At 40.1% G+C, this 18,158-nt stretch overlaps 1 protein-coding gene across 3 annotated transcripts in view; it reads left to right on the top strand.

Annotated features, from left to right (window-relative positions):
* The window catches only part of OSTM1 (osteoclastogenesis associated transmembrane protein 1), a 33,333-nt gene that overhangs the window by 1,749 nt on the left and 13,426 nt on the right, over positions 1–18,158 (top strand). For all 3 annotated transcript variants that reach the window (NM_014028.4, XM_047418679.1, XM_047418680.1), the window contains exon 2: positions 8,694–8,808. In NM_014028.4, coding sequence (NP_054747.2) covers positions 8,694–8,808 — 115 coding nt within the window. The remainder of the gene's footprint in view (positions 1–8,693; positions 8,809–18,158) is intronic.

Genomic DNA, 18,158 nt, shown 5'->3' with positions numbered 1-18,158 from the left:
TACTAAAAATACAAAAATTATCCGGGCGTGGTGGCACGTGCCTGTAGTCCCAGCTGCTCTGGAAGCTGAGGCAGAAGAATTGCGGTACACGTCTGTAGTTCCAGCTACTCGGGAAGCTGAGGCAGAAGAATCACTTGAGCCTGGAAGGCCAAGGTTGGGGTGAGCCAAGATTGCACTACTGCACTCCTTCCTGGGCAACAGAGTGAGACTCCATCTCACAATAAATAAATAAATAAAAATAAAATAAAAATCTGTCATTTTACATAACTGGGGAATTTATTTGCATTAAATAAATTCTGTGGTCAATCTCTCTGTAAAGAGCATGTTTTTTTTTTTTTCTTTTTTCTTTTTTTTCTGAGACAAGGTCTTGCTCTGTTGCCCAGGCTGGATGGAGTTCAGTGGTGTCATCTCGGCTCACTGCAATCTCCGCCTCCTGGGTTCAAGTGATTCTCCTGCCTCAGCTTCCTGAGTAGCTGGAACTACAGATGTGCACTGCCACACCTAACTAATTATTGTATTTTTAGTAGAGACAGGTTTCACCATGTTGACCAGGCTGTTCTCGAACTCCTGGCCTCAAGTAATCCACCCACCTCAGCCTCCCAAAGATTTGGGATTACAGGTGTGAGCCACCACACCTGGCCAAGGACATATTTTCGAGGTAAATAAATTCAGGCTTACATGCGGTATTTTCCAGGCACACTTCCATTGGGTATAGCAAGGAATATATATCTTACTATCACTTTAAAATAAAGTACCCAAGACATGTCCCTGTCAACTACAGCAGGATACGATATAGCATCATATTCAGTGTTGAGTGGTTAAGATGAGTTGTTTTAGGGTTCCATTTACTCTAAAGAACAAGGGCTATTGTGGGCAGAATGGCCAGGGATCATGATGCAAAGTTTGGGTCTTTGAAGGCAGCAAATGCTTTTCTCATGTGTGTAGGTACTGTGGAATTAAAGAGAGGCTAAAAATAGCACCTCAAACTCTAGGGTGCAGTATTATGGGCATCACCCAATCTGCATGTGAATTTCCATATGAATTCCCCACTACCCAAAGGAGGCTTCCCAGTGGGGGAGTTGTAGAAACCCCCTTCCTTTCCCTCAGATTCTACCAGCAACCTGGGTACCCAGCTCAACTCACCCTGATGTGAAAGGAAGTGGATAAACAGGTGAAAAGAGGCAGGGAAACTTTTTTTGTATTTTCTCTCCAACTCATCCTAGGCCTTGGTCTCGGCTCGCCTTATTTCCCCAGTAGAGCTGGATATGATTCATTAGCTCAAAAGTGTGACATCTACAGTTCTGAGGTACTTTATAGATTTAAAAGGCTATATGGACTGGTTTGGGAGTTGAACCATCATGTATAATAATGAACTTATGAGGCCAGGTGTGGTGGCTCGTGTCTGTAATCCCAGCACTTTGGGAGGCCAAGGCAGGCAGATCACCTGAGGCCAGGAGTTCGAGACCAGCCTGGCCAACATGGTGAAACCCTGCCTCTACTAAAAATACAAAAAAAAAAAAAAAAAAAAAAAATTAGCCGGGTGTGGTGGTGCGCAGCTACTCAGGAGGCTGAGGCAGGAGAATTGCTTGAACCCGGGAGGTGGAGGTTGCAGTGAGCCAAGATAGTGCCACCACTCTCCAACCTGGGGGACAGAGTAAGACTCCGTTGCAAAAAAAAACCAAAACAAAACAAAACAAAAACCTATGGAAAAATGTGTCATGAGTGAACTTGAAGGAATTAGTTGTCTCTTGGGGAGGTTTATTTATCCAGTGTAGTATATTTTCTTTTCTTTTTCTTTTTTTTTTGAGACAGAGTCTTGCTCTGTTGCCCAGGCTGGAGTGCAGTGGCATAATCTCAGCTCACTGCAAGCTCCACCTCCCAGGTTCATGCCATTCTCCTGCCTTAGCCTCCCAAGCAGCTGGGACTACAGGCGCCCGCCACCACGCCCGGCTGATTTTTTATATTTTTAGTAAAGACGGGGTTTCACCGTGTTAGCCAGGATGGTCTCAATCTCCTGACCTCGTGATCTGCACACCTCGACCTCCCAAAGTGCTGGGATTACAGGTGTGAGCCACCACACCCAGCCCTTTTTTTTTTTTTTTGAGACGGAGTTTCCCTCTTGTTACCCAGGCTGGAGTGCAATGGCGGGATCTCGGCTCACTGCAACCTTCGCCTCCCAGGTTCAAGCGATTCTCCTGCCTCAGCCTCCCAAGTAGCTGGGATTACAGGCGCCCACCACCACGCCTGGCTAATTTTTGTATTTTTAGTAGAGACAGGGTTTCACTATGTTGGCCAGGCTGGTCTCAAACTCCTGACCTCAGGTGGTCCACCCGGCTCGGCCTCCCAGAGTGCTGGGATTACAGGCGTGAGCCACCACGCCCAGCCTATCCAGTGTAATGTATTTTGTTTGACTCAGACTCAGTCTTTTATTGAAATCAGTTTTTAGCAAGCACCTACTATTCTTGAATATTGGGCTGGTAAAAGGATAAGAAGGAAAAGAAGGGTAAGATTCAGGCCTCAAACTATCAGTATAGTTAGGGGAAATAAAATACCTTATATGGGGAAATAGGAAAATATCAGTGAGTGTTATAAATTGTACCATAGCAATTTAGAACAAAAGAGTGAAAGGAATGCCAAGTTAAAGGAGGGAACAGAGCCAGATGCAGTGGCTCATGCCTGTAATCCCAGCACTTTGGGAAGCCGAGGCAGGTGGATCGCTTGAGGCCAGGAGTTTGAGACCAGCCTAGCCAACATGGCAAAACCCCGTCTCTACTAAAAATATAAAAAATTAGCCAGGAGTAGTGGCATGTGCCTGTAATCCCAGCTACTCAGGAGGCTGAGGTGGGAGAATCACTTGAGCCTGGGAGGCTGAGGTTTCAGTGAACCAAGTTTGCACCACTGCACTCCAGCCTGGGTGACAGAGCAAGACTCCATCTCAAAAAAAGAAAAAAAAAATGACGGAACAGAGCAAGGCTGGTTCATCAGGGGAAACCTACAAGCTGAATCTCAAGGCATTCTTTCTACCCTTCTTTAGTGTGAATGGACATGGATTGATTGAGAGAGGAGAGGAGTATAATAAGGAGAAAAAAAGAATCAAAGCCAGAAACTAGTAAGCTATTTATGTGGTACAGCAATATAATTAGTTTAACTATAATAGAATTCCCTGATAAGAATCCTAGGTTCTTGTCACTTCCTTTTAGAATTTCTGGGAGAGGGATCGCATATAGTTTCATTATCTCAAGGTGAAAAATACAGTGATTTCTGAAACCTGAATGATAGAACTGAGGGATTCCCTCTTCCTTAGAGTCATACTTTCTCCTTTTAGTTTAAACTGATAGGGACATAGTTTCATTGTGATTCAGCATTATCGGAATGGTCCTGAGGATGCTTTTGCCCCCTCAGATTCTGAATTGGTAGGCTCTGTCCTATTCTACTTGGTTTGTTTAAAATTTAGATAGTGTTTAAAATTTAGATCTATAGATCCATCCATCTACCTATCTATCTCTATCTATCTATGTATCTGTGTATCTTTGTGAAGTGCTAGTCATTTGGGTTATGTATTTGGTGAGTATTCAATATACTTTTACTGTAGATTATTAAATAATGAATTCTGAGGACTATAGGGAGAAAGCCAGAACATAGTGTAATAATCTGTGTCTTTCATTAGAGATCAGAAAATGTAATATTTCTTCTGCATTCATTCAAAAAAATTATTGAGTACCTATTATGTACAGGTTGTGGTAGCTACTAGGGATATAGCATGAATGAGCAGAGCTTGTAGTCTGAAGACAGACATTAAGCATCTCATTATACAAATAATTATTTAATTCATGTGTGATAAGTGTTGCTGATTAAAAAACCCAGATGCTACCAATGCATATGACAAGAGTGCTGATCTTGAGTATGACTGGGGGGTAGGTAGAATGGTCAGTGATTAAAGCAGACACCTACAATTTGAGAGAACACAGGCAGGGGAGGGAAGGTATACATGTAAAGAAATAGCAGGCATGAAGACTGAGATGGGAAGGAGTTTGTGGTGTATCTGAGGTCTAGAACACAGCACAGTGAGCAAGAAGGAAACCCGTGGTCTGAGCCTAAGGAAGTACACAGGTGCCAGGTCATGTGGGCCTTGTAGGGTATGTTAAGGATTTTAGACTTTGATTTTAAAGCAGTATGACGTTAGTGAAAGGTTTAATTCTGTGGAATGACATAATCAGATTTGTACTTTAAAAGGCTATGCTGGCTATGTGACAGAAAATGGAGAGGGTAGGGGCTGGGGAGGGTAGGGGAAGAAGATATGTGGGGAGATGAATTAGGAGACTGTTGCAGTGGTGTGAGAGACAGTGGTGTCTAGGCTATGTGGGGGCCATCATGATGTGGAGAAATGGGTGGATTTCAGAGATACTTAGGAGGCAGAAATTACAGGCTTGGAGGTTAATTGAATGTGGGGAGTAAGGAAAAGGTAGTGATGATTTCCAGGGTTTTAATAAGAGCAGCTTAATGAATAGGGTTGTCATTTACTGAGCTGGAGGGAGGAGTCTGTTTAGTGGGCGAAGATCATTAACTCAGTTTTGAACGTGTTGATTTTGAGGTGTTTATGAGCTTTCTAAGTGGATATATTGATTGCCTATGTGGTTGAATATACACATCTAGAGGACTGGACTAGAGATAACACCTTTGGGAGTGTCGGCATAAAAATGGCATTTGAAATTATGACATGGGTGAACATACCTGAAGAATGAGTAGGAACACTAAGAGTTTAAGATTAAATAGAGGGTAAACTCTCAAAGGTGACTGAGAAGGAAGAATTGGAGAGATAAAGAAGAATGAGGAGAGCATGATGCCCTGTAAATCAAGGAAAAGGGAAGGGGTGGTTATTTGTGTCAAATCCTGCTGAGAGAATTGGAGATATATCTGTCAACACTGGCAGTATTGGTGACACTAACAAGAGTGAATTTGATGGAGTCCTTGGGTACGAAAGTGAGATCAGAGTGGGTTGAACAGGGATTGGAAGATGAGGACATGGGAAGAGTGAACCTAGACAACTGCTGAAGAGTTTGGCCTTGATGGGGAGATAAGAAAGAGAAGTCACTAAAGAGCAATGTGGGACTCAGAGACTTTCTTTCATTTCTCTTTCTCTATTTTTTTTTTTTTTTTTTTTTTTAGACAGAGGCTCGCTCTGTCAACCAAGCTGGAGTGCATGGCACAATCTCGGCTCACTGCAACCTCCACCATCCCAGGTTCAAGCGATTCTCCAGCCTCAGCCTCCTGAGTAGCTGGGACTATGGGTGTGCACCACCACACCCAGCTAATTTTATACTTTTAGTAGAGATGGGGTTTCACCAGGTTGGCTGGACTGGTCTCGAACTCCTGACCTTAGGTGATCTGCCTGCCTCGGCCTCCCAAAGTATTGGGATACAGGCGTGAGCCACGGTGCCAGGCTGACTTTCTATCATTTCTTTCCATTCCCCTGTCCCTCCATTCCTCTGTCCTGCCTTCCCTTCTTCCTTGTCCAAGATGGGAGAGAGCTGGACATGTTTAAATGTTGATAGTAAGGGTCCTTTAGAGAAAGTGAAGATTCTGTAGGAGGGAGTGGGAAGCAGACAAGGTCAGTTTCCAGAAAAGGCAGGATAGATGGGATCTAGGGCATCCTCAGAGAGATGGGCCTTGAAAAGGACAGGTGCCTTCCCCACCTTAATGGGAGGGTAGAAGGAGAGGTTGCATGTAGGGGTAGGCAGGTTAGAGTTTCAGCTCGAAGGCTTCTGTTATCCAGGAGGCTAGATCTTCTTTTGAGAGTAAAGAGTGGGAGAGAGATCAGAGTTTCTGGGAGAGTGGAGAGGATTTGAAATAGCGGTTGTAAAAAGGAGAGAATGAGCAGACAGAAAAGTGAGGAGTACGGTTTGGGATTATGGATTTACTTTGGAATTAATCTGTGTTGTTAATTTTTTGCCAGCAGCTCCTGACTTCCTGGGTGCAGGCATGATCAAAGGAAATGGCTGGCTTCAAGATGGTTAGGGTTCTGCTAAGTAGTTAGGATAGATTTGAGTATTAAGAGTTCTAAGTATAAGCAAGGACCATTGATTTTTTGGTCACTTGGCGAGGTGTTGGGAATACAAAGATGTGACAGTTTCCATTTTAAAGGGACATCTGTCCAGAAGAGAAACCTAAACATATATAGGTGGATATCATGCTTTAAGAAACCATGCATCAGGGTAATGACGCATGGGTCCCACATTGCTCTTTAGTGACCTCTCTTTCTTATCTCCCCATCAAGGCCAAACTCTTCAGCAGTTGTCTAGGTTCACTCTTCCCATGTCCTCATCTTCCATTCCCTGTTCAACCCACTCTGATCTCACTTTCACACTCAAGGACTCCATCAAATTCATTCTTGTTAGTGTCACCAATACTGCCAGTGTTGACAGATGTACCTCCAGTTCTCTCAGCAGGATTTGACACAAATAACCACCCCTTCCCTTTTCCTTGATTTACAGGACATCATGCTCTCCTTATTTTTCTTTATCTCTCCAATTCTTCCTTCTCAGTCACCTCTGATAGTTTACCCTCTACCCAGCTAACACTACCTATTTCATAGAGTTGTTATGAGGATTAAATAAGGAAGTTGGAACATTTGGAACTGGTAAGTAGTAAGTACCTCATCATCGTTTGGATTATTAATCATTTCCTTTCTGTCCTCACTGTTGCCATCATCCTTTCATTATACCTGATCTATGGAAGTAGTGTAATGAGTCTCCCTGCCTCCTCACCCTACATATCACGGCCTAAAGATGTATTCCTCAAACTGCTTTTCATGACACCCTCCTCATAAATCTTAAAGAATTTCTCACTGGCTAACTCTCATGACCCTCACGGCCTCTCATAACCTTGTTCTAACTTAGCCCTTTAATAGCCCTACTTTCATAGACTACTGAATACTCTCCGAATACCACATAATCATTATCACTTTCACCCCATGATCATTTAATTCTTCTATTTTCGAATCCTCTTCTCTTCCTCAATATAGGGCTTAGTTCATATCCTGCTTCCTTCATGAACTCTTTCCTAATTTCTCAAAACTACATTGATATCTTCCTGAACCGAACTGTTCCACACATTGAACACTCATACAGGCTCTACTGTATTGATTTTTAAAATAGCCAGTCACCCACTTATGAAGATTCAACTTAACCAACTAATGACACTTATCCAACTAAACCTACTTAGAGCACTTCAGGTTGGCAGCATGGTAGCTAGGTGAAATAGCATATATCAGTCACTGTGTGCCAGACAGTGTGCTGAGTGATTAATGTATGCTATTTCATTTAATACAGTAACTGTAGGACCCCTGATTTTGAAACTGAACCTTAGCGAGGTTGGGTCAGCTGCCCAAGGTCACTAGCTAGTGACCCAGGCTTGTATTAATACAATATTATTACTTCTACTTAAGAAGTGATAATAGGCCAGGCATGGTGGCTCATGCCTGTAATCCCAGCACTTTGGGAGGCCGAGGCAGGTGGATCGTCTGAGGTCAGGAGTTCGAGACCAGTCAGGCCAACATGGTGAAACCCCGTCTGTACTAAAAATAAAAATTAGCCAAGCATGGTGGCATGTGCCTGTAGTCCCAGCTGCTCGGGCGGCTAAGGCAGGAGGATCGCTTGAACCCAGGAGGCAGATGTTGCAGTGAGCTGAGATTGCGTCACTGCACTCCAGCCTGGGCGATAGAGTGAGACTCCATCTCAAAAAAAAAAAAAAAAAAGTGATAATAGAAAATTTTCTTCTATGGCTGGTATTGCTCAGAAGGTAATTCTAAAAAAGAGTTTTAAAATGTTCTGTTCATGGCCAGGTGCAGTGGCTCATGCCTATAATCCCAGCACTTTGGGAGGCCGAGGTGGATGGATCATTTGAGTTCAGGAGTTCAAGATCAGCCTGGCCAACATAGTGAAACCCCGTCTCTACTACAAACACAAAAATTAGCTGGGTGTGGTGGCATGTGCCTGTAGTCCCAGCTACCTGGGAGGCTGTGGCATGAGAATCGCTTGGATTTTATATTTTAAAGCAGAAATTCTTCCTTTTCTCCCTCTTTTCTCCTTTTTTCCATTTCTTCTCCCACATGACTGACCATTTGTTTCCCAGGAGTTACCACTCTTTTATTATTCATCACACTGTATAACTCCTTGTCTGTGTAACTGCGAGAGGTTCTCAAAGCCCCAGAATTGATGGCATTCTTTTATACTTTTTATATCCTCAGAACTTCAGGATTTTTATAGTGCCTAGTAAATAGTAGGAGTTAAATAACTTTGAAAGAATTAAGGGTCAGCAGGACTTAGTTCCTTGCTTGGGGCACGAAGGAAAGGAAATAGATAAGGATCAAATGATTTGGGAACTTGGATTTATTATTTGCATAGCATGAGTTTCTTTCATTATTAAAATGATCTACAAAAGCATATTTTTCCATCTGGGTACAAACTATTTAGATAACAAAGATTTTCTTCCTTTGCAAGTGAACCTAGTACCAATAAATGTTAGCTGCTAATTACTTTATTATCATTGTTTTTATTAATGTTAACATCTGATCATATCAAACAAAATGTTAAAAAGCTTATAATAAATGTTATTTTTGTAAGGTTTTTGCCTCAAGTTGTTTGCAAAGTCTGAAAATACTCAGATTGTATTTTTCTGTCTTCTTTTTGTTACAGAATACTTCAGAGAGTCAGAGTTGTGCCAGAAGTCTCTTAATGGCAGATAGAATGCAAATAGTTGTGATTCTCTCAGAATTTTTTAATACCACATGGCAGGAGGCAAATTGTGCAAGTAAGTAATTCTTTCATTTTCATGTTGCAGTTATGGTTCAGTAGTACAGATGTCAGATTTTATTTTAGTGAATTTTGGGATCTTTGAAGCTGGATAATACTTTTTATTGCTAAGTTTAAATAAACTGTCATGGACACCATGGTTTATTAATGGCAACTGAGCAAATAGCGAAAGGCAGAAAAGTGTAGCAGTTACTATGAGCTTTGGATTTAGATAGACTTGGGTTTGATTCTAAGCTCTGCCACTTACTAGCCCTAACCTACTAGCTGTCAGATATGGGAGAAAAACTTTGCCTCTTGGAAGTTCAGTTTCTTCATCTGTAAATTGGTGGTAATGATAGAACCTATCTTATATAGTCGCCTTGAGAATGAAATGAAATAAATTGTGTAAAGCACTTAGCTCAATGCCTGACACGTATTTAGTGTTCAAGAAATGTTAACTGTTTAGTATAATAATAATTATGATGTTTACAGTAATCTGTCAAGTGGTGTGTGGCAGGCGGCGGGGTGGGATGATGACATCTGTTCTACCTTCTTTGCAGGTTTGTGTGTAATTGTGTAATAAAATAAGATCTATTTTTAGATATTCTTTGGAAAAATTAAAATCACTTCCAATTCAGATGATGTTTTGAATACCAACTATGTGCTAGGCAGTTCTTATTTTTCAAGTCTTATAATTTAATGAGTGAGAAAGATATATTTACAAATACAGCCTAGGACAGACACATAAATGCTTTAATAAAGTTATAGAGTCCTTGGAGGAAGAAGAAAATAAATCTTACTGGGGAGAATTTGAAATGACTTCCTGGAGGAGCTACCTTTTGAACCTAGGCCTGTACTATTGGACATGATTTCAATAAGTAGAGATGACGCCAGTGAGGCGGCTCACGCCTGTAATCCCAGCACTTTGGGAAGCCAAGGCAGAATTGCTTGAGCCCAGGAGTTTGAGACCAGCCTGGGGAACATAGTGAGACCCCCATCTCTACAAAAATATATATTTTTTAAATTAGATGGACATGGTGGTGTGTGACTGTAGTCCTAGCCACTTGGGAGGCTAAGGCAGGAGGATCCCTTCAGCCCAGGAATTCAAGGATGCAGTGAGATATGATTGTGCCACTGCATTCCAGCCTGGGCAACAGAGCAAGACCCTGTCTTAAAAAAAAAAAAAAGTAGAAATGAGAGAAGGACATTGCAGGTAGTCACAGAGGTATAAAAGGGCAACAGATGTTCCAGGAAGCATAGTGGGAGGTAAAGTTAGCAAGGGAAAGTAGGACCTTGACTGACAGAGTAGTATACTATTTGGGCCAACATTTTTTATACTGCTTAGAATATCAGCATATTATTAAGAAGGGGTTATAGACCAGGCATGGTGGCTCACACCTGTAATCCCAGCACTTTGGGAGGCCAAGGTGGGAGAATTGTTTGAGCCTAGGAGTTCAAGACCAGCTTAGGCAACATGGCAAAACTTTGTCTCAACAAAAAATAAAAAATTAACTGGACTTGGTGGCATGTGCCTGTAGTCCCAGCAACTTGGGAGGCTGAGATGGGAGGTCAAGGCTGCAATGAATCATGGTTGTGCCACTGCTCCCCGCTCTGGGCAACAGAACGAGACCCTATCTACAACAACAATAACAAAAAAAAAAAAAAAAAGAAAAGAAAAGCTTATATAGTATTCTCCTATTATGATTATATAGTATTCTATTAGCCATGGTTTCACTTGCTGTAGTTTCAGTTACTGCAGTCAACTGCAGTCCAAAAATATTAAATGGAAAATTTCAGAAGTAAACCATTTATAATCTTAAATTGTGTATGATTCTGAGTAGCATAATGAAATCCCATGCCATCCTGCTTCATCTACTTGGGCTGCGAATCATCCATTTGTGCAGCATATCTATACTGTAGATGCTGCCCCTCCTGTGAGGCACTCAGGAGCATCTTGGTTATAAGGTCAACTGTCATGGTATGGCACTACTTGTGTTCAGGTAACCCTTAGTTTACTTACTAATTCTTTAATAATAGTAACATAATTATTAGTTTTTGTTTTTAATCTCTTACTGTGCCTAATTTATAAATTAAACTTTATCATGGGTATGATATAGAAAACAGAAAAAACCATAGTATATAGAAGGTTTGGTACTATACTAGAAAAAAAAACATAGAAATAGAAAAAAACGTAGTATATAGAAGGTTTGGTACTATACTTGGTTTCAAGCATCCATTGGGAGTCTTGGAATATATCCCTTGAAGATAAGAGTTGACTACTGTATGTTGTAGTATCTTTGGGATTTACAATGCACCTGGAATATTAAATGCATTGAGATTTTTTTAAAAGGGTTTTTTTTTGGCTCAGTGGGGAGGCTCACACCTGTAATCCCAGCACTTCAGGAGGACAAGATGGTAGTATTGCTTGAGCCCAGGAGTTCAAGACCAGCCTGGGCAACATTTTTTGTAGAGACAGAGTCTCTACAAAGAAAAGAAAAGAAAAGAAAAAAATTAGCTGGGCATGGTGGCAAATGCCTATAGTCCCAGCTGCCTGGGAGGCTGAGGTAAGAGGAGTGCTTGAGCCCAGGAGTTGGAGGCCACATTGAGCTATGACTGTGCCACTGCACTCCAGCCTAGGCAACAGAGCAAGACCCTGTCTTAAAGAAAAAGGTTTTTTAAACATCATTTAACCTAGCACTTTCTAAGCCTTTAAAAAAAAAAAAAAACTACAAAGATCCTTTTTTCATGGAACCTCATTGGAAGAGAGAGAGACCAGTAAGAAGTTTACTGCTATAGTTTAGGCAAGAAGGAAAGAAAATGTGAAGTAGGGAGGGGCCTTGGAAATAGAAGGATAGATTAAAAATTTGTGTACCTATAAGTCATTAAGTAGCTTAGCTTTTATCAAGACTTGTCTTTTTGTTTAGTTCATATGAAGAAAAACTAAAATGGGATAAGAAGCCCCAGCCAGTTTTTTTCCCTTGTCAGTATACTATGGTATATTGAATACTGACTTTTAAAATTTTGTTTCCGAAGCTTGACTAACACAACTTTTTTTTTTAGCATATCCTTTACTTTTCAGAGTAAAATTTTCTAGTATAAATATGATTGAAGAGCATTTGCTTAACATATGTAGACCTGTTTTTAAGTATTCTTAAGCTTTTTAGAAAAATCCATTAACATAGAAAAATATGTTAATTATAAATAATTTAAAATCAGTTAATTGGAATAAGTGGATATATACTGGGATTCACTTCTTTATTTTTTAATTTTATTTTAAGACTAGTCAAGTGCAGCAGTGAGAAGAGGGGAAAGAGTAGAACAAGGAGTTCGATCTGTAACCAACTGTGAACAATTAATTGAGATAACTCACTACCTTCAGATGAGCCAGGGGTTCACTTCTTTTGACAGATGTGACTAAATTTATATACTTAGAAGAGGCAGGGCATTTTTTTTCTTTAAAAAGTGTTTTTGTTTGTTTGATTTTTGAGACAGAGTCTTGCTCTGTTGCCCAGGCTGGAATACAGTGGCACAATCTCAGCTCACTGTAGCCTCCACCTCTTGAGGGCTCAAGTGATCCTCCAGCCTCAGCCTCCCAAGCAGCTGGGGCTACAGGCAGCACGAGGATGCCTGGCCAATTTTTGTGTTTTTAATAGAGATGCTGTTTTGTCATGTTGCCCAGGCTGGTCTCGGATTCCTAGACTCAAGCAATCCTCCTTCCTTGGCCTCCCAAAGTGCTGAGATTGAAAGTGTGAGCCACTGTGCCTGGCTTAAAAGGTGTTTTGTAAAAAAGATTTCACTAATTCGAAGTACAGACCTTTTTTCCCCAGTTAGTTGAAAAGAAAACGTTTTACCGCATACTCAGTATGGCAGGTATAAAATGCTTTAGAATAAATTCTTAGGGTATTTTGTTCTTCTGTGAGGCATCCTATCTTGAAAATATTCCTTACATTGAACTTCTGAGGACCAAATAAAATGCTAAGCAATTAGATATGACTTACTTAAAAGACTCTTCCCAATTAAAATTAATTTGGCCCAGACATATGGTCTCAGGTAAAAGAAGCGAGGTACAGAGAAGTATGATATTTTGTGTTCTAAAAATACATATGTATTTTGAGGGAGGGCAGTTGGATAGCTGTGTGGGCAGGAAAGAAAGGAAGATTTAGTTTTCACCGTATTTGCATTTGTACCCTTTGGATTTTATGCCATATACATTTAATATGTATTCAAAAATATATAGAAATTTAAAAAATTTAACAGAATGTTCAAATCTGTGATGAGTATTTGTATGTTAGATGTGGTTAGAGAGATTAGCTATTTCATTTTCCAGAATTACGCATTAAAAATTATCATCATTCATCATCCCATTTATGTGGCAGAAAAGTGGAAGAGTAAATCCCATTTGTGAAGAAGGAACCCTCATGACCTAGTCACTTCCTAAAGGCCTCACTTCTTGATATTATTGTATTGGCCATCAAGTTTCAACATATCAATTTTGGGAGACACATTCAGACCATAACAGGGGCTATTAGAATTTTTGTAAAATAATATTATTAAATAACAGAAAAAAATGTAAAAACATGAAAGGTAAAATATTACTAGAAAGAATATTATTAAAATGAGTATACTGCCCAAAACTATCTTTCTGTTCTGCTTAATTTAGCTTGAAATAGGGGTGGCATCTAGTCTCTGCAGTTATTATTCATGAAAGGAAGGCTAGGAATCCAAGAGAGGAGAGAATGCCATCCATGTACTACTCCCATCCCTTTTCTTCTCAGAATTCCTGTGTCTTCAAATGGTATTAGTCTTGGTAGGAATCTGGTTATTGGAAATTGATGGAAGGTCAAAAGAAGTGTTAAGAGTGCAACTTTTTCTACTCATACTACAAATAACATGGAAACTAGCTGTTTCTGATGGAGAATGACTGCCAAAAAGTAAAGAGAGTATATTAAAGGTTTCTCAGAATTTTAAAGGTGTGTATTGTTGACATAGGGATAGCCTTGTTATTGAGACCCTTCTTGCTTATCTTGTGCATACAGCAGTTAAATAATCAGCAGAATGACCAGATTTGATGAGTTCATGACTGCTTTAGTGTTTTGGTTCTTTGGTAAGCAGTATCCAGTATGAAGCATTATTATAATGAGATAGGCCTCAAAATTATCAGTTCAGATATTTGTTCTTACACACTGAAAACTCTTTCTTTATGAGCAACCTATATCTTCAGTGATACAGGTGATCTGGGTGATAATTAATGAGCATAATGATGCTGTTGAACCACTGTGTAATCCCGATGTATATTCTGATTCATCAGAGGAAAACTAACTTTCAGTTAACACATACAATGTATGTCTTGATGCTTTAAAAAGCAACAACAATAGTACTTAATGATTAACCAGAAGGTCAATTAACCAAAACATTTTTTTTTTTTTAAGACGGAGTCTTGCTCTGTCACCCAGGCCGGAGTGCAGTGGTGCGATCTCAGTTCACTGCAAGCTCCGCCTCCCAGGTTCACGCCATTCTCCTGCCTCAGCCTCCTGAGTAGCTGGGACTACAGGTGCCCACCACCACGCCCGGCTAACTTTTTTTGTATTTTTAGTTGAGACGGGGTTTCACCGTGGTCTCGATCTCCTGACCTCGTGATCCACCTGCCTCGGCCTCCCAAAGTGCTGGGATTACAGGCGTGAGCCACTGCGCCCGGCCCAAAACCTTTCTTTCCCATATTTTATCCAGAGGGAAATGTACTAAGCGTTATAATCATATTATTTGTATCTTATAATTTAAAGTATCTTAGTTTTCATATTTGTTAAACTTAATTAGGTCATTTAGGTACAAAGTTGCCGTAGTTTATTTTTATTTTCTGAAGCTTACCCTAAATTGGTGATTATCTCTGCTATTTTCTATAAAACTAGTTTTGAAAAACAGCAAAGATCTTTGTAAAATTCCTAAGAGATGCCAAATGCTTTATTTAAAGATGCATAATTCCTGTTATGATAATTTAGTAGGTTTCTCTGTGAGGTCTTAACTTGAATCCTTAATACCTTTAAGAATGCCTCTTGAGGCCAGGCACATTGGAGGCTGCAATGAGCTGAGATTATGCCAGTGCACTCCAGCCTGGGTGACAGTGAGATTCTTCTGTCTCAGAAAAAAAAAAAAAAAAAAAAAGATTGACTCTTAAGCTGATGCCTGAGCCTTCTCTGAGAAAGCCACTCTGCTAATCTGCCCTTGATGAGGCTCCATTGATTATCTAAGATGAAGGAAATTCATAATGACCACTTCACTTAGTGCTTAAAGGAAGCTTTATTATTATTAATATTCTTTAACTCACCAATTTCTAAAACATACAGCTTCTCACTGTTTATAATCTTAAGCTCCCAATTCCTGCAAAAAGATAAAAAAGGAATTTACTAGAGATCTGTTATTTCGATTCAGAAAGTCATGGCTTTTTAATAATGAAGACTTTTTAACCCCATTATATAAATGAACTGCTTTATGCTTTATGTTACCACCATCTAATGATCATTGAAAAAGTTTTGATGGTAATGCATTAATGTAATTATTAATAAAAGAAATTAAGTTCTTTTGTTCTTCAGAGAAGCTTTCTTTATAAATTGCTTTTGCAAAAGAAATTATTTGTTTTAATTAGGTATCTTGCATAGAAGAAATTTGCTATTGCTCTCTCATGATAATGCACTTTATACTACTTTTGCTGGCAGTATGTGGACCCCTTTTATCCCTATATTGTTATGTCAGTTGTCACGACATAGCTCATTATAACACAGATGTACAACTGTTGTGAATGAAATTGTGTTCCCTTAACTTCCCTGCAACACATCAACTACAAAAACTATATAATTGTTTTTGTAAACATGTACAAAAACTATGTAATTGTTTGTTTTTATTTATATCAACTCTGCCTCATCCCTAAAAGGATTGCGGGCTACTTCATGATGATATTAAACTAGCATTAAGAGGGGCAATGAGACAAGTTCTTACTCTTTCATGCAGGTTGGAATGCAGTGGCGCAATCACAGCTTATTGCAGCCTCGACCTCCCCAAGCTGAAGCAATTCTCCCCTCTCAGCCTCCCAAGCCGCTGGGACCACAGATGCACGCCACCATGCCTGGCTAATTTTGTATTATTTGTAGAGACAGGTTTTCACCATGTTGCCCAGGCTGGTCTCGAACTCCTGGACTCAGGCAATCCACCTGCCTCCCAAAATGCTGGGATTACAGGTGTGAACCACCATGCTGGCCTATTTTTATATCAATGGCTTATTAACTTGTGGTATGATCATCAGCATATCACCTATTTCTGTGGCTTAGTTTCCTAATTTGTAGTGATCCCTCAGATTTTTTAAATAAGGGTGAGAAGTTAGAATGAGATTCATGTTCTGGAGAAGATAAAGCTTCAGAGAATGTAGAGTATGTGAGTTCAGAGAGGGGACAACTCCTGAAATAGGTTTACCAAGAGGATCCTGTGTACAATGGGTGCAGAAGGAGCCCTGCACAAGGGGGCTGTACAAGGAGGTGAATGGGGCTGAATTCCAGCTTAGCTTCTGGAGGCAGGAATGACCTTTTGTAATTTATCTACCCAGAGGGAATATCTTTTTCTGATTTGCACAAAGGAGCTTTACTGTGCTGTCTGCCCCTGTCTACCAGGTTTAGGTTTCATCTCAGTTGCTAACTCTGATCAGTTGGTGGGGACTGCCTGAATCCCTGTATGGTGTAAGATATCTATGGGTAGTGGAGGGAGTAGGCAGTGGCATGTATTTGTAGATTCCGAGTCTTGAACTTTTAATGGTTTAGAATGTAGATATAAATATGTTTATTTTGCAGTGTTTGAGAGTGCAGGCTCAAGAATCAGACTGAGTACAGAGTCTAGCTTTTTACTTACCAGTTTTATGTCCTTGGGCAACTTCCTTAATTTATCTAAACCTATCTCTGTTCCTTATTTATAAAATGGAGATAATGATAATTTTTCCCTCATGGAATCACTGCAAGAATTAAATGGGCAAATGTGTTTAAAGTGCAGTGTAAGCATAGTTCTTAGAACATAGCAAGTATTTAGTAAGTGTTAACTTTCGTTGTAGTAATTGTTGTCTGTCAGAGTACATGGATGTCCCTTAGTGTGTCATATCCTAGTGTCTACCTAGTCCGTCTCTCTTTTCTCCACAAATTCTACTTGCCTTGCTGCCTTTCTCCTGGGTAATTGCAATAGCTTTGCATGTTGTCTTTCCACTTCCAGTTGAGAGAGATCCTATCTGATGGCCCTGAATTTCTAAATAAGGTGGGCATAATACAAAGCCATCTGTTGAAATTAAGGGGAACAAGAGTAGGGCTGGGACTAGAGATGAGAAAATATGTGGAACATCCCTTGCAGAGCAATTAGGAGGGCATCTACAAGGATCATTTTGTTGCCCCGAGATCAGAACACATGAATTTGAATTGAGTCCCTTCATTATCATTTTAGAATTTCTGTAGTAGTATTCTGTAACCAGACTGAGAGTACAGAAAGTAGATGGGGACTGTCCAGGGATGAAAATGGCTGTGAATATGTGGAAGATAAAGAGGGCAAGGATTCTAGGAGAGTCAGATGGAAACGACTGACCACAAGTTCCAAGATCTGGAACCAGGCAGTTGAACCTCGATTGGAGATAGCAGGCTGAGAACACAAGGAGAGGTAAAGACAAAGGTTTACCTGAGGATAAAGACTAGGTTCCCTGGCTGAGCGCAGTGGCTCATGCCTTTAAGTAATCCCAGCACTTTGGAAGGTTGAGGTGGGAACATCACTTGCGCCCAGGAGTTCAAGTCTGCAATGAGCTGGCAAATTGTGCCACTGCACTCCAGCCTGGGCAACCGAGCAAGACCCCGTTTCTTAAAAAAAAAAAGAAGAATAGATTATTCCCTGAAGAAGGGAAAATGGATACATAAATTGTGATATACACATACATAGAAAATAAAAGGGATGAGTGAACTTGAGCTAACTCTAAGCAAGAATAGCCAGTTGCAGAGAAATACCATTTATGTAGGATTTTTAAAAATGTAAAACAATTTTGTTTCTAGACTTTACTTGAAGCCCCCACGTCAGTATTTTAGGCAAAATTCTCACCAGTTTGTTTCTCTGGGCTCCCAACTCGTGATGGATTAGAAAGAGCGAATTTTAAAAGTTACCCCATTAGGTACAATAAATGACTCATTAGTGAAGTTGGAAGATGCAGAGAACTATGAAATTTGACACAAAAAATGATAAGGCATATGAGTTTCGGTAAAATTAATGCAGGGTAAACAGTCTTATGCCTAAATAGCACTGTTAAGGCAGCATTTGATAGCTGATATTCCGTGATTATGACCTTGTGCCATCAAAAGTCCATTT

This window comes from Homo sapiens, chromosome 6 (assembly GCF_000001405.40).
Source record: "Homo sapiens chromosome 6, GRCh38.p14 Primary Assembly".
Classification (NCBI taxonomy): domain Eukaryota; kingdom Metazoa; phylum Chordata; class Mammalia; order Primates; family Hominidae; genus Homo; species Homo sapiens.
The sequence above is the reverse complement of the archived record's forward strand: the minus strand, read 5'-3'. Positions and strand labels throughout refer to the sequence as shown.